Source organism: Homo sapiens, chromosome 3, assembly GCF_000001405.40.
Source record: "Homo sapiens chromosome 3, GRCh38.p14 Primary Assembly".
NCBI lineage: Eukaryota > Metazoa > Chordata > Mammalia > Primates > Hominidae > Homo > Homo sapiens.
The window spans coordinates 167,450,957-167,475,267 of record NC_000003.12 but is presented as its reverse complement, the minus strand read 5'-3'; the positions used below and the strand labels follow the sequence as shown (position 1 = coordinate 167,475,267).

General features: G+C 35.0%; 1 protein-coding gene and 1 long non-coding RNA gene across 5 annotated transcripts in view; one reads left to right on the top strand and one right to left on the bottom strand.

The window, feature by feature from the left end:
- The window catches only part of SERPINI2 (serpin family I member 2), a 35,031-nt gene that overhangs the window by 1,696 nt on the left and 9,024 nt on the right, over positions 1 to 24,311 (top strand). The window contains exons 1-7 of one of the 3 annotated variants that reach the window (NM_001012303.3): positions 1,226 to 1,265; positions 1,441 to 1,531; positions 3,424 to 3,680; positions 7,983 to 8,213; positions 9,595 to 9,789; positions 9,870 to 10,062; positions 22,235 to 22,332. In NM_001012303.3, coding sequence (NP_001012303.2) covers positions 3,434 to 3,680; positions 7,983 to 8,213; positions 9,595 to 9,789; positions 9,870 to 10,062; positions 22,235 to 22,332 — 964 coding nt within the window. In that variant the 5' untranslated portion in view covers positions 1,226 to 1,265; positions 1,441 to 1,531; positions 3,424 to 3,433. Of the gene's footprint in view, positions 1 to 1,135; positions 1,266 to 1,440; positions 1,532 to 3,423; positions 3,681 to 7,982; positions 8,214 to 9,594; positions 9,790 to 9,869; positions 10,063 to 22,234; positions 22,333 to 24,311 lie in introns of those variants that run through there. The other 2 variants (NM_001394327.1, NM_006217.6) reach the window with 2 other exon arrangements.
- Positions 808 to 5,697, bottom strand: LOC105374197 (uncharacterized). Of its 2 annotated transcripts, none has more exons than XR_924683.3 (3): positions 5,628 to 5,697; positions 4,147 to 4,203; positions 808 to 896 (listed from the first exon to the last, which is right to left on the bottom strand). It is a non-coding gene; the product is annotated as an uncharacterized LOC105374197 (long non-coding RNA). The 2 variants fall into 2 exon arrangements; XR_001741012.2 differs by having other exon boundaries at positions 5,582 to 5,653.

Genomic DNA, 24,311 nt, shown 5'->3' with positions numbered 1-24,311 from the left:
AAGTAGAATGATAGTATTCTTGTATTGCACAACTCTTTTTGGAAAATTATCTCTGTGTTAAGTTAAAGCTACACTAGAGTGTGCTTATGATAGAGTAGGTAATATTAGAATAAAACTCAAGATCTAGAAAACATTTGGAGATGCCTATATGGGAAATCAAAAAATTTTAGTTAATTAGTAGATTATGGCCTATAATGATCTATTCTCAGGCCTATTTTTAAGTTATAGCCATGTTAGGACATGGAAAGATGTTAACAGGGTCCTCTGACAAGTTTTTAAAAATGAATTCCATTTAAAGCTATCTATATTCACTTTATTTCTTTTACATGAGTTTATCAGAAATAGTATTAAATTTGGGGATCAACAGATATTTAATTAAAAGTGAACTAAATTTTTTTTCTCTTCTCAAAGGCTATAGATAAATAATACAATGTGCTTAATATCTGATTGCCATTGAGGTGATTGATTTGAACTACAAAAATGAGATGAAACCCATTAAATTATGCAATTTTTTATTAATGACCTTTTTGCAAAGAAAATCATGTAGAGTTTCAAAAGCACATAAAGGTAACAGCAATTTTTATCATCCAATTACCTATGGCTAATAGTATTGTCCTGATATATTTTGGCAAATCCATTATCTTTTTTGCTGGCCTTTCTGCTCAGAATAAAGAACATATTTCTTCAATATCCACTCTTTTTCTTAAGGATTCAAATGGACCTTATATCCACAGGAAACTCCTCTGACTATTGTATAATTTGATGAATGTTGAGAACTCTGTCAATGCAGCAGTGATTTGTCTCTGTATTCTGGACTTGATTTAGCTTTATTCTTTTTCTCATAGGCATTCTGAAATATTTATGACAAAGTGCATTGGTAATCTGATGTAGGAGTCCTGTGAGAAACAAAAAGAACTAATTACTAGCAAATTTACAACCAGTAGCGCATCCTTTCAAATTCTGTGCAACTTTTAAAAGAAGCAAAATAATGGATAAAATAATAATATAAATTTAATACTTTTAAAAAATTCTATAATTGTTTTTTTCTCAATTCTTGCACATTTCATCAGTTGATCATTAACCCGATTGTGTTAGTTCTTAATACAAATGTAGTGAACACCTGCTTTTGTTCTAGAGGAATTAATCAAGCAATGGTCAAGATAAATGGAGTTGGCCTTGATCGCTCAGGTGTTTATGTACAAGAGTTTTCCAGCAAGCGTATTTTAGTTGTAACATTCCAGTGAATAATCAGAAGTCAGTTTGGGGTAAGTACCTTAGAAATAAATAGCTTTTGAATAAGTATGTATGCAATAACATTGCCTATGAATGTTTAGTAGAGTATGGAATGGCATTTCAATTTACTTTGGTGTAAAAATCATTTGAATTTATTTAATTAACATATCGCTTTTATTCTCCTTAAATGATTTCACCACAAATCAGAAGATCCAGTTCTTATAGGACTATTCATCAGGTTGTTTAGTTCAGCATTACTTTGTGCTTTCTGATAAGATATGATCCAAAACCTGATGAGGTAAGTGAGTTTTTAAAACCAATATTTGTCTGAGGTTATAATTTATTAAGTGCTTAGAAATTTTCTAGAAAAAATGGATGTGGATGCTCAAATAATATAAATTTAATTATTAAGATTATTAATAATAATGAGAAGGAAACTCTAATACTGAGATTCTACCACAAAGAAAAAAATTACATTTTTAATAATACTGTTCATTATTCCAATATAAACCAAATACATAAAGCTATATCTAATGTATTTCCAGTTGATAACTTAAAGGTACTAATAACATTTTGACTACGTATCTACAAACACATATTTTGGTCAGAAGTCTTCTGAGAAATTGAATATATTAGAAGATAATGATACACAGACATTTATTTTGCATGTAAAACTTCTCTTACTCACTGGTTTTTAACTATTGTTGCACTCTCATTTATAAGCTCATATGCTAAATTAATCCCTAATGAAACATTTGCTTGATATTAATAGCATATAGGTCTATATCTAAAGTTTACCAACACATTTTCTAACAATTGCTTTGGATTGTTTTTTGAGGCTTTTGTCTTTTGCAAATATATATCTAAACAAATACAGTTTAACAAAATACATTGAAGGATAAATAATGACTCCATAGTTTAATTTGGAACAATATTTGACTATTAGTAATCTTTATATATAAATATAGTTGTTCTTAGGGACTCCTACCATTTATGGTACCCTTAATGATCTGCAAAACACTCTAGAAATGTAAGTCTCTACTTAAGGCTGACAACAGACTATTCTAAAGGCTTTCATCTTTACCCCTAATTAAGGGTTACTTCCTAGTAACTTACTGATGGATAAGTTTTTAAGGATTACTAACATGTATTATTTATAAGGTAAAATTATTGTTACTAAAATTTATGAGGCCTTGGAGTCAACATTCTACCAAATATGTGGTAATATTGCAAAACTAATTCTGCTTGAGATATAATCAAATGGTTGAATTTCCTGCAATTTTAGTGGAGAGCACTTTAATAGGGTATTATTAGTCTTGTGAATTGTTTATGGTTTTTAATTGCTGCTACTCTTACATTTGTTAGTATTTCTGTCAATTCTTTGATATTATATTTCATTTTATTTATATTTTTTCTTTTATAATTTCAAGTTTTATTACAGATTAATGTACATGTGCAGGTTTGCTACATGGGTATATGGCCTGACACTAAGGTTTGGGGTATAAATGATCTCATCACCCAGGTAGTGAGCATAGTACTTTATTGTATCATTTATATTTGATTGCCATTTTGTTTCAAACTTTGCAGGTTTTCTGCATTGTATTTGTCTTCTTTTGGAAAAGCAGGAAGAGGGCTTTGGGTTATTTTGTCCTAAGAAATAAAGCGTGAGGAAAATTGTAAAAAGTTAGCCAGATTACTCAGTTGCTTTAGAATACATTAATTTTCTAATATTATAGGTCTAAAACCACACTGGAGTAAGTCTGTTTTTATTCCATTTCTTCCTCTTGATCTATAAATTACTGTAGAGTAGACAGCACAGAAGGTTTACCTGATGTCAGAGTTACAGTTATCCCACTTAACCATGAGAAAAGATAGAAAAAAACTATTGTATAACTATTTGGAGATACCATTGCCATTGATAACATTCCAACATTGTAGTGTCTTTTTTGATTTTTGCTACAAAACTACAAGTATATTTTCTACTGGTTCTTGAAGATATGTAAGAAATACCATTAACACATGAACTATTTTTCTGAATAGATGATACTTAGAAATCTAATTGGATAGAGTTCACTTGTGGTAGTAAGTTCTATTAAGATAGAAAGCTACAACAGGTAGAAAGTTTTCTGTTGAGCTCTCTGTGGAAAACTCTATTTTGAAAATGAATATATTTTGATTTAAACAATACAGAGAAGTCAAAATGGACACAATCTTCTTGTGGAGTCTTCTATTGCTGTTTTTTGGAAGTCAAGCCTCAAGATGCTCAGCTCAAAAAAATACCGAATTTGCAGTGGATCTTTATCAAGAGGTTTCCTTATCTCATAAGGACAACATTATATTTTCACCCCTTGGAATAACTTTGGTTCTTGAGATGGTACAACTGGGAGCCAAAGGAAAAGCACAGCAGCAGATAAGACAAACTTTAAAACAACAGGAAACCTCAGCTGGTGAGACTCTTACATCTCCTTACTTATACTGGATAAGATATGGACGCATTCATTTTTTAATATTAGAAGTTCAGGATAAAGAAATTTTAATAAGTGAAAATGTAATGAAAAGTACAAAATTGTAATAAAATGGAGAATTGTAAATGTAATTTTCATTCATTTATAATTAATTCCTTTAAAAGGTTACAAAAATTATTAAGAAATTGACATCTATATAAATGTAAAATTAAGTAAATATTTGTACATTTTCTTTTAGTTTGTTTTAGCCAGTTTTAATTACTTGAGATTATACTGGGCGTGCATGTGTGTGTGTGTATGTACATACTCATAAAATATACATCTATACACATACATATTCTTCCACTATCACTATGTTGTGATCATTTTCCCATGTCATGGAACTGATTCAAAATATGATTTTTAATTACTGTATCTTATTGCCTCTTATAGAAGTACCATTACTTACTTAGCCTTTCTTCAGTAGGTTGTTTCCAACATTTCTCTTAAAAAAAATGCACCTCATCTGTAACGAGACCAAGAAAAAACATTAATTTGTTCATTTTAAAAGCTTATTTGTTACTAGTTTTAAAAGGAAAATGGAAAAAAAAGGATTTAAATAATCAGAGGCCTTTGTGCTTGTGAATGATGATTGTTTTGTTGGAGTCTCCTCATGGACTGTCTGGGATAGTGTCTATCCCTCTTACTGGGATACTGTGCTTTTGTGCTGGCATCCCATTTGAAAGAATTGTTGCTTGGCTGGTGTGGTGGCTCACACATGTAATCTCAGCACTTTGGGAGGCTGAGGCAGGTGGATCACTTGAGGTCAGGAGTTCGAGACCAGGCTGGAAAAATACAAAAATTTGCAAGGCATGGTGGCATGTGCCTATAGTCTCAGCTACTTGAGAGGCTAAGGCAGGAGAAGTGCTTGAACCCAAGAGGCAGAGGTTGCAGTGAGCTGAGATCGTGCCACTGCACTCCAGCCAGGGCAAAAGAACAGACTCCTTCTCCAAAAAAAAAAAAAAAAAAAAAAAAAAAAAGTTGTTGCTCATCTCCTCAGCTATCTCATGCTCTCAGTTTCTATAGTTGTTTTAATTTTCAGCTTTTGGATTACTCTGAGATACTGTGTTCTAAATACAGATTTTTGATTTGGGAATTTAGTTGCTACAACTATAATTTCAGTGTATTTTTCTTATCACAGAGTAGCAGTATTTAGAAATTTGCTTTCCTGAAAATACTATTTACAAGATTTTATTTGCTTCATTTTAAATAAAGACAATTTTATACAGAAAAGACGTTGGTAATAGTGAAGTGAAGTTAATTGTAAGAATTTTTCTTTGCAAATAGTGCACACTGAAGCCAATGTATTCCAGATTTAGTCTTGATTAATTTCAGCAAATCCCAATATACCACTCCCAGAAACGTTTAAACCACATGCTATAGCTTTGAAAAAGTAATACAATATTTGTGAAGATACATAAATTAGAGTCTCTGAAAACTTAAATTACTTTAAATGGATACATGATATAGAGAAACACAGAAGTTTTAACAGGTGTGAATTGTGAACATGATAAAGTAATAGTAATAACGCACTATCAAAAATATAGAAAGGATATCAGCCACTGTTTCATGTGCTTAATATATATTCTCTCATTTAATATTTATAATTACTTTGTTAAGTAAACAACCTTGTAATAAACCTGAGAAAACTGAGGCAAAGAAAGGTTAAATAATTTGCTCAGTGCTAATTCCTAAAATAATTCAGTGAGGATTAAGAATATAAGAGCAATATATTCTCACTAATATATTAATAAGAATATTAATTCTCATATATTATGTAAGGCTCTCAGTGTCCTCAGTTCTCCTTCTTTACTTCATTGTCAAAACATCTGCTCTGAATTTACCTCCTCCATTTTGCTGAACATCTGTTAATACTCCCTTTTGCTTTACCTCTGATAATGCTGATGACGAATCAAAGGCTAAATTCAATGTGCTTCTTTTTTCCACAGGGTTTTGAAAAGAGAACTGGGCATGAATTCCTGTCCCAGTTCTGCAACTAAATGACCTTGTGATTTGGCACAAGTCATGTCACTTGTGAAGCTTCTTAATCTCTCTGGGCCTCAGATTCCTCACTGTAAAAAGAAAAGTTGAGGTTAGGTAATTTATTTGGACCTTTTGGCTGAAATAATCTATAATTCTACGACTACGTTTGTTTTCATCTTTGGATCTCCCATATGCACACAAAATTGGCTTTTAGACTTTTACTAGCAGAAGAGAACATGCACTGAATTTTAGAACATTTTCTGGAGGTCTGGTACAATCAAATCAAGAGCCACATTCACCCATGACCTGTGGGTTATCCATGGCTCTATTTTAGAAAATGAAATAAACTTGTTGTCATTACTTATTAGGAGATATATAATTTTTGATCTGTGCTAAAAATGTCATTAATCTAGAAACGAAATAAAATTTATAGGGCAGATAATGTTATATTCTTCTCCAAACTTGTACTACTTAGTGACATTTTTTTCATTGACTTCTGAGTTCAACAGTTTATCAAAGGGCAGCTGTTTGTCACATAGACTTAGACCTTAAGTACATGACATAAATCTATTTGCTTTGACAAATGATTTGGAACTACTTTTTCTCCCTTTCTCTCTTTTTTTATTCCTTTAAAGATGTTCATGTATTTCAGATTTCTGAAAATTAGTTTCAGATTCTGTCACTTCATTTCTGACCTTAATTAATTCTTTTGGAAAAGCTCTCGTGTCTTTACTCAGAAAGCCTTTTCTGTAGCCTCCCAGCTATTGAGATATTTGTTTCAGGCTTCAGATAGCAATAAATGGTTACATCTGAAATCATTGTACAAATAAGTAAAATGGCTTAACTTTCTTCCCTTCCTTATGTAAGGAATTTCAGGGTTATAAAGAATTACTGAAATTCTTCAGATCTAATCATATGGAAGTAAGTTTTTTTTATATCTGAAATTGTTTATACCTGTATCTATATACCAGTGAACAGAGAATCCTGGAGTTTGAAATATAATGCAGTATACTTCATAGAGCCTCCTGTGAGGCTGTGAGAACGCCAGGCCAAAAAGGCAAGTAGGGACTGAAATGTAGCCTCTGTAACCCAGCTGGACAAGATGAGAGGCCATGGAGCTGCCCAGCCCCCAGAGAGGGAACTATTTTTATTTGCACAAAGATGACCTATGGGCTGCTAGCTTTCTGATTTAAAAAAAAAAATGTATTTACACAAGCTTAGGTACACACACACACACATCCTCCTTATTTCCAGTAGAAATCTAGTAGTAAGTCCCTCTTAGTAATACCCGGTTTTCTTGAATAAAGATTAATTGAATATATCAATTTTAGGTTATGAAAGTGGCATTTGCAGTATTTAACTGAAAATATAATGAAGGCCCAGAAAGAACCTATTTGAAATAGAGTTACAAGACTTAATGATTGAGTTCTAAGATTAAGCCAGAAGGAAATGAAAACTGTTGGTACACTTTTGCAATGAACAGGAAGCTATTGAACCTAATATCAGGGTAGAGTTCTCTCATACGCATATATAGCTTCCAGACAACACTACAGTCAGAACAGTCCAAAAATAAATAATAGGCCGAAAGTGATTCTTTTAGTTGACCCTGACTGACTTATTTTGGCTAGTGGTTAGAGTTAAAATGGTTAAAGATTTTTATTGTTGATGTCGACAGCCAAAGTATATAAATTCATGAACTTGTAGAAATAGGCAATTCTGATTCTTACGCATCTCTAGAGATGATTACAGAGGTTGCCTTGTAAAATTTAAAACCTGTACAGGTGCAGTTGCTTATAAGAGAACAATTTTTTCTTCAGCTGAAATAAAAGTAATATTGAAAAGGATTGCTCATCACTGTCATGCCCCCATCAGCATTCATTAGCATTCCCTTTTCATAGGTATCACATGCTCACGTTATGCAAATAAGATTCTAAACATAAATTTCAATAACTAAAAATGCGCTAAATGTGACTATCAAGAGGGACTTTCCTTCAGCTTCTATAAATGCATATTCTTTTTTTTGACAAATTTCAAATTTGCATGGACATTCTTTTTTCTATATAAAAGATGATTTCTCTACAAAATGCATATTCTACAGGAGATACATCCTTAAAATATTTATACTAACTTTGAAGGGATTGTTAGTTATACCTAAGGGTGCAAAAAACGGTGATATGAATCAGAGTACTTAGATAGCAAAGCTGAAAAGCTGTTGTTTTTATGTTGTTCAATATGCCAATATACATTAAAATTATTTTCTAGGGGAAGAATTTTTTGTACTGAAGTCATTTTTCTCTGCCATCTCAGAGAAAAAACAAGAATTTACATTTAATCTTGCCAATGCCCTCTACCTTCAAGAAGGATTCACTGTGAAAGAACAGTATCTCCATGGCAACAAGGAATTTTTTCAGAGTGCTATAAAACTGGTGGATTTTCAAGATGCAAAGGCTTGTGCAGAGATGATAAGTACCTGGGTAGAAAGAAAAACAGATGGTAAAGTTTCCCATTTTCATAAAATTATTATTTGCCATTGTATTCATGGTTTTTAATATCCTAAAGTAAAGAATGGCTGAATATTTTCCTACTGCAGTATGGATCAGAGGAATCAAATATCCTATTTCATTTCATAGTTATTTAAATTAATATTAAATTGTAAAACTGGAAAGAAATTATAAGCTGCTTTGAAAAGAATACTGATTCTTTTATTTTCTTTTGAGAGATACCTGCTTATAGAATTTTTAATGAAATAATTTTAATAATAATTTTTGTTAAAACATAGATTTTTCAGGCATAAAAGCAGAAATAATCTCTTTGGCCAGGTAGAAGTTAAATCTGTCAATCCCAAATGCCTTCTTTCCCACAGATGCTGAAAATGATTATCATATTTTAGTTGAATGTGTTAATATTTAATAATAAATGTTAATATTTCTATCATAAACATGGTAGTCTACACTTTAAATGCAAGCTAGCAAAAAATTTCATAGTTGACTACAGAGGGATATAGTAAATTCAAATTCATATAAATCTGAGTTGAAATCTTAGAAAGTTATAAGCTATGCTCCATTTAAAATGAGGATATTATTAAAACATTTCAGAATTCTTTGGAGTTTTAATAATAATGTATGTGAAGTGACAAGCATATACCAAGCCCTCAATTAATAGTACTTTGTTTCTTTATTTAATCAGCTATGAAAAATGTGATGTTATAAGACATATGCCTTATAGGAAGCCTTATATGGGGAAGCATAAGTTGAAAGTGTGAGATAAGCGTGGTGAGCCATGTTCACAGCTGTAGGAAATGAGGACATCACTAGACAGCTCCATGGCACCCAGTCATGCCTATTTCTCATAACTTGGAAAAACTCACTGGACATAGAAATAGGAGACCAGTTATTTGGAGGAAAAGGATCATACTAGTATCCTCCATTCTTTTCCCTTTCCAATGGTCAGTGGACACAGCTGTCAGAATGGCAAGTTTGGGTGTACCATTAACTTACTTATGATGACTGACATTTTAGAAGACCTTGAAATAGATGGAATAATACCAGTAAATATGGAAGAAGTAATATTTTTATTCTTTATGTCTGACATACAATGGTTACAAATGATCTTATTGGAGAGTCTAGGTATATCTGAGTTTGCCTAAAACAGTCTCATATTTCTAATTTCGTAGTGAAATTCCATTTGCACCTGTTTCTTCATGAAATATTTAACAGCAATCCCGTCTATTCTCAAAATTACCATATTTAGATGATAACATGCCCTATCCAAAACTGATCTGCAAAAGACACTTTTGCTTTAATTCTATTCAAAGCAATTCCACTGAATCACTATTGCACATTTCTTCTTACCTCCTCCTCCACCCACTTCCTAGGAAAAATTAAAGACATGTTTTCAGGGGAAGAATTTGGCCCTCTGACTCGGCTTGTCCTGGTGAATGCTATTTATTTCAAAGGAGATTGGAAACAGAAATTCAGAAAAGAGGACACACAGCTGATAAATTTTACTAAGAAAAATGGTTCAACTGTCAAAATTCCAATGATGAAGGCTCTTCTGAGAACAAAATATGGTAATGTGAGAAACCACAGTTCCTAAGCATAGTCTTGAGAATTGCCAAGTATATTTGATATTTTATTTTGTCTATTCCAGGTTATTTTTCTGAATCTTCCCTGAACTACCAAGTTTTAGAATTGTCTTACAAAGGTGATGAATTTAGCTTAATTATCATACTTCCTGCAGAAGGTATGGATATAGAAGAAGTGGAAAAACTAATTACTGCTCAACAAATCCTAAAATGGCTCTCTGAGATGCAAGAAGAGGAAGTAGAAATAAGCCTCCCTAGGTTGGTGATGTTATTTTATTATACGAGTTCTTACGTTTCCACTCACATAGGAATTTGAGCAGTCAGCTGAAAGGTAACAAATACTTGAAAAGTCTATTGACACAAATGAAAATACAAATGTATTTGGAAATTTTACTCTACTTTTGGATACTAAAGCAGGGCTTACCTGTGCTAGCATTGCTTTACCATGAGAAGAACTGAATTTAAGTGCTTAGTTTTCTCTGTAAAAGATAAGTATATGTCTTAAAATTAGAATGTTGGGATTAGAAGGAATTATTGTCTTTTTATTATGCTAATTTTCTCCACTTTTTTCCTGACTGGAATTTTTAATATTTATCTCTTATTAAGAAAAAAATAATTATAATGGTATGTTTTACACAATTGAAAGATATGTTATATCACTTTGACGGACAGTGCTCTAACAATCATTGAATTATAAACAGAATCCTATAGTCAATTTTAGGTAGTTAGTACAAAATGGAAATTGAAAGGGTTATCTCAGGAAGCAATAATTATGAACTAAATTTTTAACATCATGCTCCTAAGGGACAGAAGAAACTTCAAAAAGAAAGGTGTGCCCAAATGACTCAATTCACACTCTACCCAAACTTATAAAAAGAGATTTATGTGTAATAGATTATATACTGTCGTTTTATTTCTAAATTTCCTTTCAAACTCATCAAGCCCCAACTGTTTTGTGCTCCCCTGTTTCTGGCCATTGGTCTCTTAAACCTCTTGGTTTTTACTTCCTTTTCCACTCAGCCAGGATCTAGTCATTAGTTATTTCAGTCATAGTCTCATTAACATTTTTAATGTTTTTGTCTCCTTTATCCCTTTCCTAATTCTCTTCTCAACTATCCTCAATTCTGAGTCCACTCAACAAGCCACTCCTGGCCAGGCATGGTGGCTCATGACTGTAATCACAGCACTTTGGGAGGCTGAGGCGGGCAGATCATCTGAGGTCAGGAGTTCGAGTCCAGACTGGCTAATGTGGTGAAATTCTGTCTTTACTAAAAACACCAAAATTAGCTGGGCATGGTGGCAGGTGCCTGTAATCCCAGCTACTTGGGAGGCTGAGGCAAGAGAATCAGTTGAACCTGGGAGGTAGAGGTTTGCAGTGAGCTGAGACTGCGCCACTGCACTCCAGCCTGGCAACAGGGTGAGACCCAGTATCCAAAAAAAAAAAAAAAAAAAAAGCCACTCCTGTTCTTCAACTACTGCAACTACTGCAACTGTTGATTTTGTTGGAGCAAAAACCTGGAAAGGAGTCACCTCTGGCTTTACCGAGACTAGAGCTCAGCACTCCTTCCTTACTCTAGAGAACCTTCTTTACTCCTACCCACACCATACCAGGACATTACTTCTCTCCTTCACTTACTACTCTAGGTTGATTTCTCTTACTTCCAACAAGTGTGCCAGTCTTCTATATCGTAAAGAAAACCTATCATCAGGTAAACTTTCTCCTCTCTATTTATAGAAATCACCTCAAAATTTATGTAAATCTTTATTAATCTTCTCTTTCTTTACCTTCTTTGATATTGTGGAGAAAGAAGTATCCTCTACTTCTCTCATCCTAACTCTGGGATCTTGATCAAAGTATTATTAACCATCCCTTTTTTTCTGGAAAAGCTTTCTTCCTTTAGTCCCCAGGACACTACTGACTTATTTCTTTCTCTCTTTCTGGAAATTTTTCCTGCTCCTTGACTTACTTCTATTTTGTTTCTGTTCCCAAGCAAAAATGTTTATCAGAGTTTCATCTTCAGAATTTTCCTCCTCTTACTCTCTCTCAGAAATATCCCTGTTATTCTGGTTTTTAAAATCTGAGTCTCTAACCCCAACTTCTCTTTCATTTCCCAGCCATTTGAATATCTCTACTTGATATTATTCTTTTTTTCAAAGAATATTTTTTTTAGCACCTACTATGCCAAACACTGGGGTATAATGGTGTGTATGACAGATGGTTTACCTTCTAATAATGAAATAATATTTTTTGAAATTAAATTGTTTATTTTCAAATTTACTTCTCCTAGCTTTGAAATGATCACTTTCTTGGAGACAAAAAAAAAAAATTACTGAGTTTGAAAACTGTCTGTGACATGTACCACCAGTGGGGTCTCAGGAGAGTCACTTGACCATTTTGAGTTGTGGTTTTATCAATATAAAATGTGGATAATGATACTTATTGCTAGATTTTTCAGTCTAAATAATAATGCATAAGCCCCAACCTCAATTGACAGGAAGAAATACAGGCTTTCACCAGAATTTCCTTTGACAGCATTTTTAGGAATCCTTAGAGGAATGTTTCACAGTCCAAAAATCTGTCCAAGCTGTCACAGTGTAGACAACTTTGAACTGTTTGGCCTTATTCTCAGCATCTCCACTCTAGGGCCACACTTCCCATACAACTATTCCCACAGTGTAGACAACTTTGAACGTTTGGCCTTGTTATCAGCATCTCCACTCCAGGGCCACACTCCACACTTCCCATACTACCCCCACAGTGTAGACACAGACTTCTCTCTTAATTCTTCCAAGCACAACTGTTATGGGTTGAATTGCATCCCCCCACCCAAATTCATATGGTGAAGTTCTAACCAGTAACTCAGAATGTTGCCTTATTTGGAGACAAGATTTTTACAGAGTAATGAAAGTTAGGTCATTAGGCCGGGCTCTAATCCAACATGACTGTTGTCATCTAAAAAGGAAAATTTAGACAGAGATATGCATGGAGGGAAGATGATGTGAAGAGACACAGGGAAAAAAATGGCCATCTACAAATCAACAAGAGAGGCATAGAACAAATTTTTCCCTCACGGCCTTCTGAAGAATCCAGCACTGCTGACATCTTGATTTAAGACCTCTAGCCTCTGCAACTGTGAGACAATCTATTTGTTATTTAAGATACCCAGTTTGTAGTACTTTGTTATGGCAGCCCTAGCAAACTAATACAAGAACAACTTCAATGTTTAAGCAAATTTTACTGAAATCTTGGTGATAGTGAAAGGGACTTACAACATAGCAAGTAATTTAAAACCAGGTACCAATTATGATAGTTCCTTGAGTGTAGACTATTTCTTGTACCAAATAGTCTCCTTCTGTCCGTTGTTATACTTAGCCTACCATTGCAACAGTGCTAGCACCCACCTTCACCTAAAAGAGTTATCTTTACACCTCCCTCCTATTCAGCATTCAGAGTCCTCCAACATTTCCCAGTATAAAGAGAAGGTGACCCAGATTTTCTTCCATGCTCTCTAAGGCCAGCTTCCCAGTTGTGACAAGAATCTATAGTTGCCAGATGTGGCTTATGCCTGTAATCCCAGCACTTTGGGGGGCCAAGGCAGGAGGATCTCCTGAGCCCAGGAGTTCAAGACCAGCAGGAGCAACAAAGAAAGACCCTGTCTTTAGAAAATAAAAAAAATAAAAAAACATTAGTTGGACACGGTGGTGTGTGCCTGTAGTCCCAGCTACCGTGGAGGATAAGGCAGGAGGATCACTTGAGCCCATGTGTTCAAGGCTTCAGTGAGCTGTGATCCTGCCACTGCACTCCAGCCTGGGCAGCAAAGCGAGACCCTATCTCCAAAAAAAAAAAAAGCATCTATAGCAGGAGACTTCAGTGAAAACAATGTTTTCATATCATATAAAATAGCTTACGCCCTCGTCATCTCAAACTTCCCCATCTCCATCCCACTGGTTCTACTTGCAAAATGAAAAAGCCCATTGTATTGCTTTCCCTAAACAAAAGAACAATTTGCCTTAAAAGCTGAATTTGAATCTTCGTTTTTATAGAAACAAAAACAATAGTTGGCAGTTGTATTCCCCATTTCCATACAAATTCCAGCCACCAATGATATTTAAAAACTTGGCAGTTTCAGTTACAGTATCTCATTACATACTTCTATTCATAGCACAAAGTCTGGCAACTAAAAGGTGCTAAATAAATGACGGCTTTATTTTATTTTTTTTTGTTAAAAAGATCACTGCCCAGTCAATACCAAACTAGAAACATTGTCTTCTCTGAATTCTCAGACTCCACTCCTTTCTCTTCTGTGTGGCAGGCCCTTCTCTGTGGTGTCTGACCAATAAGTTCCCATTAATCCTCCATGGTTTCCCTTGAAGTTATTGCACTCAAACATACCTAGTTAGAGTGAACCAATCCTTATCTATATTTCTAGAACACTTCAGGAAAATTCACATCATAGCACTTATTACATTGCACTTTTATTTCTTGCTCACATTCCTGTCTGTCCTATTAAAATGTGATTTCTGGGACAGCGGGTTAGGTCTTGCTCATTTTAGTTTCTGTTGTTCCTAGCATGCTTCATGGTATATAGTATGTGCTAAATGAGTATTATTGAATTAAATTACACAAATATTTTCAAGGAAAGAAATTCTATATTATTTCTCTTTATTTAATTTTAAATATCTTAAAAACCAGAATTCAACTTTCCGGTCACTCTAATTTATTCTCTTTGAGGACCCTGATGAAGCTTTCCCACCTTTCCATACATATAGCATCATGAAAAATAGGACATTAGCCATTTACTTCAAAACTTCTCTCTAGAGAAGGAAAAGTGAGATTTTTTTCTTTCTAAATTCAGAGGACAGAAATTTGTTATTGTTTAATCACACTAATACAGCATTACATGTAAAATGCATTCACTTTTTTACTAAATTAATGTCTTCTGATTTGTTAAAGGAACAATTTGCTTATGTATTTAGTTCATTAACAATTTTAACTTATCAGAACCTGTTTATGAATTAAGTTTCCTGAGCACCAAAATCATGGATTAAAAGTTCTGAAATACATTTCTCCCAAAAGGAACAATTTCTTCACAACAGAAAAATACCCGTTTAAAATATGTGTTTGGTAGAGAAGAGAGAAAACAACGTAGGCTCAATAAATGTTTGGGGTAGACTGGCAGATTTATATTTTATTACTGAATGCGGTGGTTCTTTTACATCTGAATAAATGTGAAATGGTTTTCAAACTGATAACTAAGTATTTTGATAAAATTGGAACAGCTTAATCAACTTCATTAATTTCCTAGAGCTGCTATAACAGCACAACACAACAGAGTAGGTGACTTAGAACAACAGAAATTGATTCTCTCACAGTCTGGAGGCTAAATGTCAAAATCAAGGTGTCAGCACAACATGCTCTCACTGAGACCGTTAGGAGAATCCTTCCTTGCCTCTTCCTACCTTCCGATAGTGGCTGGAAGTCCTTGGTCTTCCTCTCCTTATAGATAAATCACTCCAATTATTTCTTCTGTTGTCATGTAGCCATCTGTCTTCGTGTGGTGTTCTCATATCTTATAAGGACACCGATCATATTGGATTAAGGCCCATTCCTATTTCCAAGTAAGGTGACATTAAAAGATACTGGGGGTTAGGGCTTCAACACATGAATTTGGGAAAGGGGGTATGCACAATTCAACCCATAACACCAACTGTAATAAATTCTATATTGTTGTAAAATATCTCTTTGGTAGCAAAGTTAGTATATGCCAAAAAAAAAAAAAAACCACCCATAAGAATGTTTATATTTAAGCTACAGTAGAAAGGAGCATGTGAGTGACTATTTAGATTATAGTTACTGCTTAAGAAATACTTCTCCTTTCCCTCTTTTGTGTATATCTAGTTTAGAATTGAGGCCAATAAGATATCATCTCAAAATACTCGAGTGCTTCCCATTATTTATTATCTGTAATATACTAGATATATAATTTTGGACATCATCCTGCAGTTGAATGTTAGCTAAAATAATCATATTACTTTGTCTAAATGTAGTATGAGATCCTTTAAATATTTTAGTAATAAAACTTCCTTTGGGGCCGGGCGCGGTGGCTCACGCCTGTAGTCCCAGCACTTTGGGAGGCTGAGGCGGGCGGATCACGAGGTCAGGAGATCGAGACCATCCCGGCTAAAACGGTGAAACCCCGTCTCTACTAAAAATACAAAAAATTAGCCGGGCATAGTGGCGGGCGCCTGTAGTCCCAGCTACTCGGGAGGCTGAGGCAGGAGAATGGCGTGAACCCGGGAGGCGGAGCTTGCAGTGAGCCGAGATCCCGCCACTGCACTCCAGCCTGGGCGACAGAGCGAGACTCCGTCTCAAAAAAAAAAAAAACAAAAAAAAACTTCCTTTGGTTGAAGAATCTAAAACATAATTGCTATACGCCGCCAGATTCTTCTCTGTAGAAGAATCATTCTGAAAATATAGTATAAAAACTGTGTGTATGGGCAAAAATGATAATTTAATACACATAAGGTAAATAAACAAGTAACTTTTAACTTTGTGAAGTGTTAGCATTTATATTTTAATAGCAAATGTTGTGATTTTATCATCTGACTTAGTTATTCTCCCATTTCACAGATAAGAAAACTGAGGCACTGAGAAGATAAATTGATTGCCATTCAATGAGTATTGACAGAGAAGGATCAGCTCTCGTGTCTATTGGGTCACAGCCTTATTAGTTTGATACTTATTAGAAAGTGTATTTCCTGTTCAAAAACATTGATTGGGATTCTACTGTGGGCAAGAGGCTGGGACAGATGTAAAGCAATAGGTTCCTTATTGATAAGATGGTTACCACCTATTGATAAAATGGAATAGTACAAGATTTGTGCAAGAAATTCACTAAGACAGCCGGGAGCGGTGGCTCACGCCTGTAGACCCGGCACTTTAGGAGGCCGAGGTGGGCAGATCACGAGGTCAGGAGATCGAGACCATCCTGGCTCACACCGTTAAACCCCGTCTCTACTAAAAAAAAAAAAAAAAATACAAACAATTAGCCAGGCGTGGTGGCAGGCGCCTGTAGTCCCAGCTACTCGGGAGGCTGAGGCAGGAAAATGGCGTGAACCTGGGAGGCGGAGCTTGCAGAGAGCCCAGATCATGCCACTGCACTCCAGCCTGGGCGACAGAGTGAGACTCCGTCTCAAAAAAAAAAAAAAAAAAAAAAAGAAAGAAATTCACTAAGACTACACAGCAATGTACAGTAAGTACTAAAAGAATCGTATAAGTAAGCATTAGAAGGTTCACAAAAACGGAGAGTGCACAGGAAATGAATTGTAAACAAAGGCTTCATGAAAGAAGGACTTGAGTTGGGTTTTAAAAGAGTTGAAGAATAAATCCTATATGCAATGAAGAATTGTTGAATATGTCCAAGTAAGACAATGAAATGATTAAGTCAGTGTTTTAGAAAGATCTATGTAGTAGTCAGAATTGTTCACCCTGGATAACTTGTCTGAAAAATTTCCCTCTTCCTCATTTATCCCCCACCCCTGCCAACGGTTCCTATTTTTCTATAAAACTTCTATTTGTCCTTAAAATTAAGTTTGGGTTTTAGAAAGCCTTTCTGATCTCTCCATGCAATATCATACAAGCATCTTCCCTTCTCCCCATTGGGAAAGTTCTAGTACCTTGTGTTTATTTCTGCATAGCAGTTATATTAAAATGAATTGTTTATCTTCCCCTCTGACCCATAAGCTACTTGAGGTGAAGAGCTAGGCATGTTTCCTCTCTGTGACTGCAGCAAAAAGCATGTATATAAAAAATAGTAGCTATTCAATGAGGATTTGTTGCTTTAAACTGAGTAGTGGTAATAACCTGGATTTGTTAAAGAGGGAAAGACTAAAGCCTAAAAGATCAGTTAAAAAACCACTGCAACAACTCGGACATTAAGTAAAGAGTGTTTAAAGGGAGCAGCCTCACTGGGAATAGTAAGGAACTGGTGAAATTATTGAAATGTGTGACTAACTAGATATGGGTTAAGAAGAAATAGGTTGTTTGGGGGTTCCAGGCTCAACTTACTAGAAAACAAGAGGGCTGTGAATTCTTGCTGTTTTGTAGTAGTCCTTACCTGGGCACCATGGACTTCTAGAGAGGTCTAGGATATACTTCCAAGGGTCCTTGAAGCCCTGAAATTATTTGCAAGTTTATGCATGTAAGGTTATGCATGTATTTTCCTTGGGAGAGGCTTTATAGTTCTCACTGAATTTTTGGAAATCTCGGCCTTTAAACTTGTTAAGCACTACAGTTCTATTCAAAAGTATAGTATTATCTTAATAATAGCCATAGTCTTTGTGAGAGATATCATTCTTTAAAAATATTGACTGATGTGGCACCTCACAGTACCTTTTGTCAATTGTTGAAACCAGATTACTGAAAATAATATTGAAGACCCAGAGCCCTGCCACTTTCTTACTATATAACTTTAAGCAAATTACTTTTCTAAGATTTTTCTTATACTGTTAAATGCAGTAATGATAACACATGCCTCTTAGTGTTGTGAGGATTCCATGAGATAATGTGTATACAATTTTTAGTGCTCAATATTAGCTAAATATTATTTGTATTATTACTCATTTAATTCTAACAGTGGCCATATATTATAATGCCAACATTGTAATAGGTGGCCCCCCATCATATCGCATTAAATTCCTCAATCAATTTGATGAAGGTCTAGTTTTACATTAAGGTTACAGACAAGATGGAGACAGGTAAATACCTTGCCTATGGTCACACAGCTAATTAATGGCTGAGCCAATACTAGAAGAGGTCAGCCAGACGTCTGAAAACAGGTGACTGTAGGGCAAGCAAGAGAGGGAGCACAGAACAGAACAAACAGTCAGTGATAGGGTGAGCAGTAGGATGAGAGATCTGGAGTAGCCGTACCAAGGAGACTTTTCAAAAGATGTAACACTTACCACAGGACATAAATGATCATCTTTTTGCTGGCTAGAAATTAATTCTAGGCTTGGCCAGCCTTGGATCTATAAGTGGGTGAATGTAAATTGTGTGTGGGTGGCAGGAAGGCAAGGAAAATGAGACTGGATATGAGAATAGATACGTTGTGACCAGCTGCAGTAGTGATTACAAAATGTTCGTTTACTTTGACCTATTGGACATGGATAAAAATGGGAATACTAGGCATACATTAAACATTATCCAGATGTTTCATATGTGAAAGTATTTTAAATTCAGCCTGTGACGTTAATAGAGTATTTTAATTATTTTACACACACACACACACACACACACACACACACACACACAGAGGTAATTGATTGGAAAGTGACCAGAATTTACTGTGTACTCACATAACCATCTAGGGCCACCATTGTCAAAGATTGTGTTGTATTTTTCTCCTCATGAGCAACCCTAAGATTTGGTTTGGTTGGTTCCAGCTCTGAACAGTACAAGTGATATGGTTTGGATTTATGTCCCCACCCAAATCTCATGTCAAATTGCAATCCCCAGTGTTGGAGATGGGGCCTGGTGGAAAGTGATGGGATCATGGGGGCAAATTTCCCCCTTCAGTGCTGTGCTCATCGTAGAGTTCTCACGAGATTTGGTTGTTCAAAAGTGTGTAGCCCCTGCCCCCTGTTTCTCTTCCTCCTATTCCAGCCATGTAAGATGTGCCCATTCCTCTTTGCCTTCAGCCATGATTGTAAGTTTCCTGATACCTCCCTGGTAACCAACAAATGCCAGCATCATGCTCCCTGTACAGCCTTTGGAACTGTGAACCAATTAAACTTCTTTTCTTTATAAATTACCCAGTCTCAGGTATTTCTTTTTTCTTTTCTTTTCTTTTCTTTTCTTTTTTTTTTTTTGAGACTCGTATTTCTTTATAGCAGTGTGAGAATAGCCTAATACACCAAGAATGATTCAAGCCCACTGTACCAAAGCTGGGATTTCAGATGATAACACAAACCCAGAGGGAAATTGATCCAAGACTTTTTTTCATTAAACAAGAACTCTGGGGATAAGGGGAAAGGAAGGGCCAATACCATTCCCCAACAGGGCCTGGAGGCCAGAAGTAGGTCATTCTTAAAACAAAAATTGGGATTGTTTTTCATTTTTCTGCAGCTTTTCCCTTTGTGAGATCTGTTTCAGCACAATGGTTACATTTGGGAGTGAATTACTCTCTTTTAAACAAATAGATATTATTTGCATATGCTAAAAATTCCATTCATGATTTAGTTGCTAATTGTTTATCTAGCATTTTGCTGCTCATTCTTCTACTTTTGCCTGCTGTTCTTTTGACAATTTTAGAGGAGGATTAAGGAAAAGGGAAAATGAACCACAACTGGGAGAAATATGAAGACTCATAAACTTTGGAAGAGGGACATTATATATATTGACCAATATGGTGGTGTTGAATTACATTTTGATTAGAAAGTAGTGGCAGTTAGCACATTAGCTTTGACTTCAAATAGACCTGAGTTTAAATCATACCTCTGGAACCTACCTTAACCTTAAGCCTGAAAATTAACCTCCTCAGGCTTCTATTTTCTTATACGTTAATGGAAATAATGCCGACTTCCTTAGATTTTTCTAAAGATTAAAAACTATAATTTATCTTAAGTACCTAACACATGGCAGTGCTTCTTCACACCTGGCTATTCATGGCTCCAATAATTATGGATAATTAGGAATTGGCTGTAGATTATACATTCATTAGATGGCTGAATGTGTTTTTATTGCTGTAGGTTTCATTGGACTATATTATGAGCAGGACTGTTACTTAAATGACTCTCCAGTGATAATTAGGCATTATTAGAAGTTGTAATAAGTCTTGCAGTATTTTTGTCATTATCCTAAAATTATTGGACTATTATAGCCCATTTATAGGTAGATTAGAACATATATTCTCCACCCTTTAAAAGCCCATACTCCATTCAGTTTAAAGACTGTGGTAATAAAAACAGGAAAAAAGCCAACCTCCCAAACCATCATGCTGCATATTATCTTTCTTAGTAGGAAGTTACAAGGAAGAGGGTGAAAGCAGTTGGCATAGAATGAGCTATTTTCTTTATCAGCTGATTTTAATGTGCATGTTGTGTCCATTCCCAGGTAGATAGGGTTCTGAATGAGTTACCATCTTCCAAAAAAACATATTGTTTTACCAAGAAATAATTTAGTCCCAGTAGAGTTCTGCCACAGCATGTTCATTGCTTTGGAGAATTATAATTAAGAAGCTCATTCAGTATTTCCAATTAAAACAATGATCTAATTAGACTGATTGCCCCACCTAATTTCTAGCTCCAGATGTGGGCCTACCTGCTGAATGAACAAGGATCCTTGAGCACTAGCGTATGCATTCTAACTGGGGAGCACAGGGGTCAATGCCCAGAGGGCATAGACAAAGCCCCTCATTGGGAATTGCCTGGAATTTTGCTGATGTAGGAAATATATATAGCTCCCTGTTTAAGATTATTACATGTGTCTTTTCTTTCATAAACAAAGTTTCTGATCTGTATTTAAAATGCAAATTAATGCTTTAAGCATCTATGAAGTCAATAAGTACTAGCTTCCCCCCACCCCCACTTTTATTTAAATGGGAAAGTGAGGTTCAGTGATTGCTTTTGACTTGGAATCGTGGAAGATCAGTGGCTGAGAAAATCTTTTGGGATTATCTGGTTAAGTTCCCTTTTCACAGGTGAGGCAAATTAAGGCACAGACAGGTGAGCCAGACACTAGTCTCCTAACTTACGGCTCAGTGTTGGAAGCAGTGGCTACCTCCTTTTTTTTTTGCCCACCCCCCCCCACTCCTGTAATTTTTGTCTTTTATTTCCTTTGAAAGAAATCTGGTTCCCCTTCCTTTATCCTTTTATAGGGCCTATTTAAAAGATATTAGGCCTGTCCATACACTAAAGAACATCTCATTGACTGTGACAATGGGCGAGATGAATGATGGGTTATAAATATTTCTCTCTTCCTTAATAGCTAACAATCTTCTCCAAGGACTGTGGACTCCTGTTCCCTGCTCATCATGTCATGGGCATCTGCCAGGAACCATCTTTGATGGTGTAAAAATCTTGAATACATAAGAGGGAAATTTTAGACTTGTTAGAAAGAAGCCAAGCAATTGAGACCTTAGATAGAACTTAGAATTCTCACCGAGTTTTGTTGGGTAATTGTTACTTCAAAAAAAAATGCAATTTCTGTTCCCTCTTTCCTCCAACCATTTATCTGGGAAGCAAGTTATTGGCAACCCAGAGCTGATTGTTGGAGCCGGGGAAAATGGTGTGAAATGTGAGAAAATGTAATTGAGATAATAAAAACAAAAGATTTTACAATATATTATCCTCTAAGTCATCCATTAAAAAATTGGTAGCAAAAATGTGCAGTGTTTCAAGACTTTTCTTTTTCTTTTTTTTTTAATAACAGATTTAAAGTAGAACAAAAAGTAGACTTCAAAGACGTTTTGTATTCTTTGAACATAACCGAGATATTTAGTGGTGGCTGCGACCTTTCTGGAATAACAGGTAGTATGATAAATAATTCTTATATTATGATGTTAATTTGTTTTGTTAGGACTACATTAACTAGCTGAGCTTAAAACTGAAAGAGCATTCAGCTCTGATAAATATACGCACAGTGAATAAATGTCATAGTCATGTTGAGCTGTCTGTAAACAAGCACTTTATGTTTAAGTAGTTTTTCTTAATGAAAGTCAAAAAGCATTTTAGAATGTTAGATAAGCACTCTGGCTATACTTCTAATAAAACTACATAAGTAAAAGTATTATATGGGTTTTTATTTCTGCCCTGTTTGGATCTCCTCATCTGAATAATGGGAATTACAACTTTGAGTCTCTCATCTAAGCAGAGCTAATACAACTCTTATAAACCAATTTGCAAATGTTAATTCACTAATATGAGAACACATGAAATAGTCATCCATAAGCTGCTGGATGATGAACACAATCAAGAAATTGTAACGCTACAGCTTGCAGATTTAGCAACAGAGTCTTTTGGGCTGACAACATATCTGAGAAGATAAGATGGAGCTCTTATGCTAACTCGCATCAGGGGAATCCTGCATGGTTAACACGTTCACTTGTACAACAAAGCCAAGATAGTCTTTGAATTCTTCGAGTCTCAGTGGTACACACTAGTTCAAAAATAACTCGCTAAAAAAATGGATGAAGAGAGCCAGTTTGTCCCAAGTTACTTACCCTCTTTTAAATTCAGTCTTCTGTTCTATAAAAATGGGCCTAAGCTTGTCTGTCTGATGGGGTTGTAAATCATAACATGAAATAGTGCAGAAATGTTTTATGTATTTATTTCTATATAGGTATCTGGGCTTTGGAAACGTGTTGTTAATTTAGTCATCACCCATCAATTATATGGGCAAATGAACAGAATGAAAAACTTTCCTGGTGGAGGAGGTGAATGAGGTCACAAATATCAAAATGTTCATTATCACCTTCACACACGGTGTAGCTACTCGTTCTCACACTGACAGATAGATCTGACTTCTCTGACAATTTTGTCCGCACTAGGTATGAGATGGTCAACATTAAATACTGCAACAGGATGCTCTGTAAGTGTGCCCTGAGACACAACCACCTCTTCAACCTTCAATAATCCAAACTATTTTTCATGCACTTCCTTTTCTTAAACTTCTTTCTGGCCATAGGGAGATCACTCAATATGCCTCAGACACTTCAAACAGCCACTTGTTCTGCAAATTCCCAGCAATTTGTGACTTCTAAAAAATCTCCTGTTACAGGCAGATTTTTAAAGAAAATACTTCCAAAATGTTTCATAAAAGACTTTATTCAAGAAAATGACCCAGTGCAGAAAAGAATAAATGTCCAGCATCTTCTGTTCTTTCCCTCTTGAGTTACCTATTTGAGCTGTTTTAACCATTTTGGTTCCGTCTTATTGCCTAGAATAGAATAGTCATAGCCAATGCTGATACCCCTGCTGGTAGCTAGGAGCACAGTAAATTCTCTGCTATCTCTACTTATCATTTGTACAATAAACATTCACTAAAGGCTACTATGAAGCAGCCCAACACTAGTCTTATGGGACATCTGTGTGAAAGGGACACTACCTTATATTTATATAGTTCACAAGTTTTGAATGAAATGTTTTTATAGAGTTATTTTGGAAACTGTTAGAAAAATATTTGACTTCTCACTCAGTTACTACTCCTTGTGTAACCTGTAGTAAAATATTTAACCTTTCTGAGTGTAAGCATTCTAATCTGTTAAGTGAGATAATATAGTGACTGGGGAAATAAATAAAAGAATGTATGTAAATCATCTAGTTTAACATTTGGCACATAGTTAAATATAAAACAGCAAGTGGGAAAAGTATCACATTAATATTACTTGCACATCTAGCAAACGTATTGTTTTCTTGTTCTCTTAATTTAATAACAATGTACTTAGAATTTTCATTTAAAAATTAAGAGAAATAATGACTATGAAGGTATAATGAATGAGTTTGTAGAG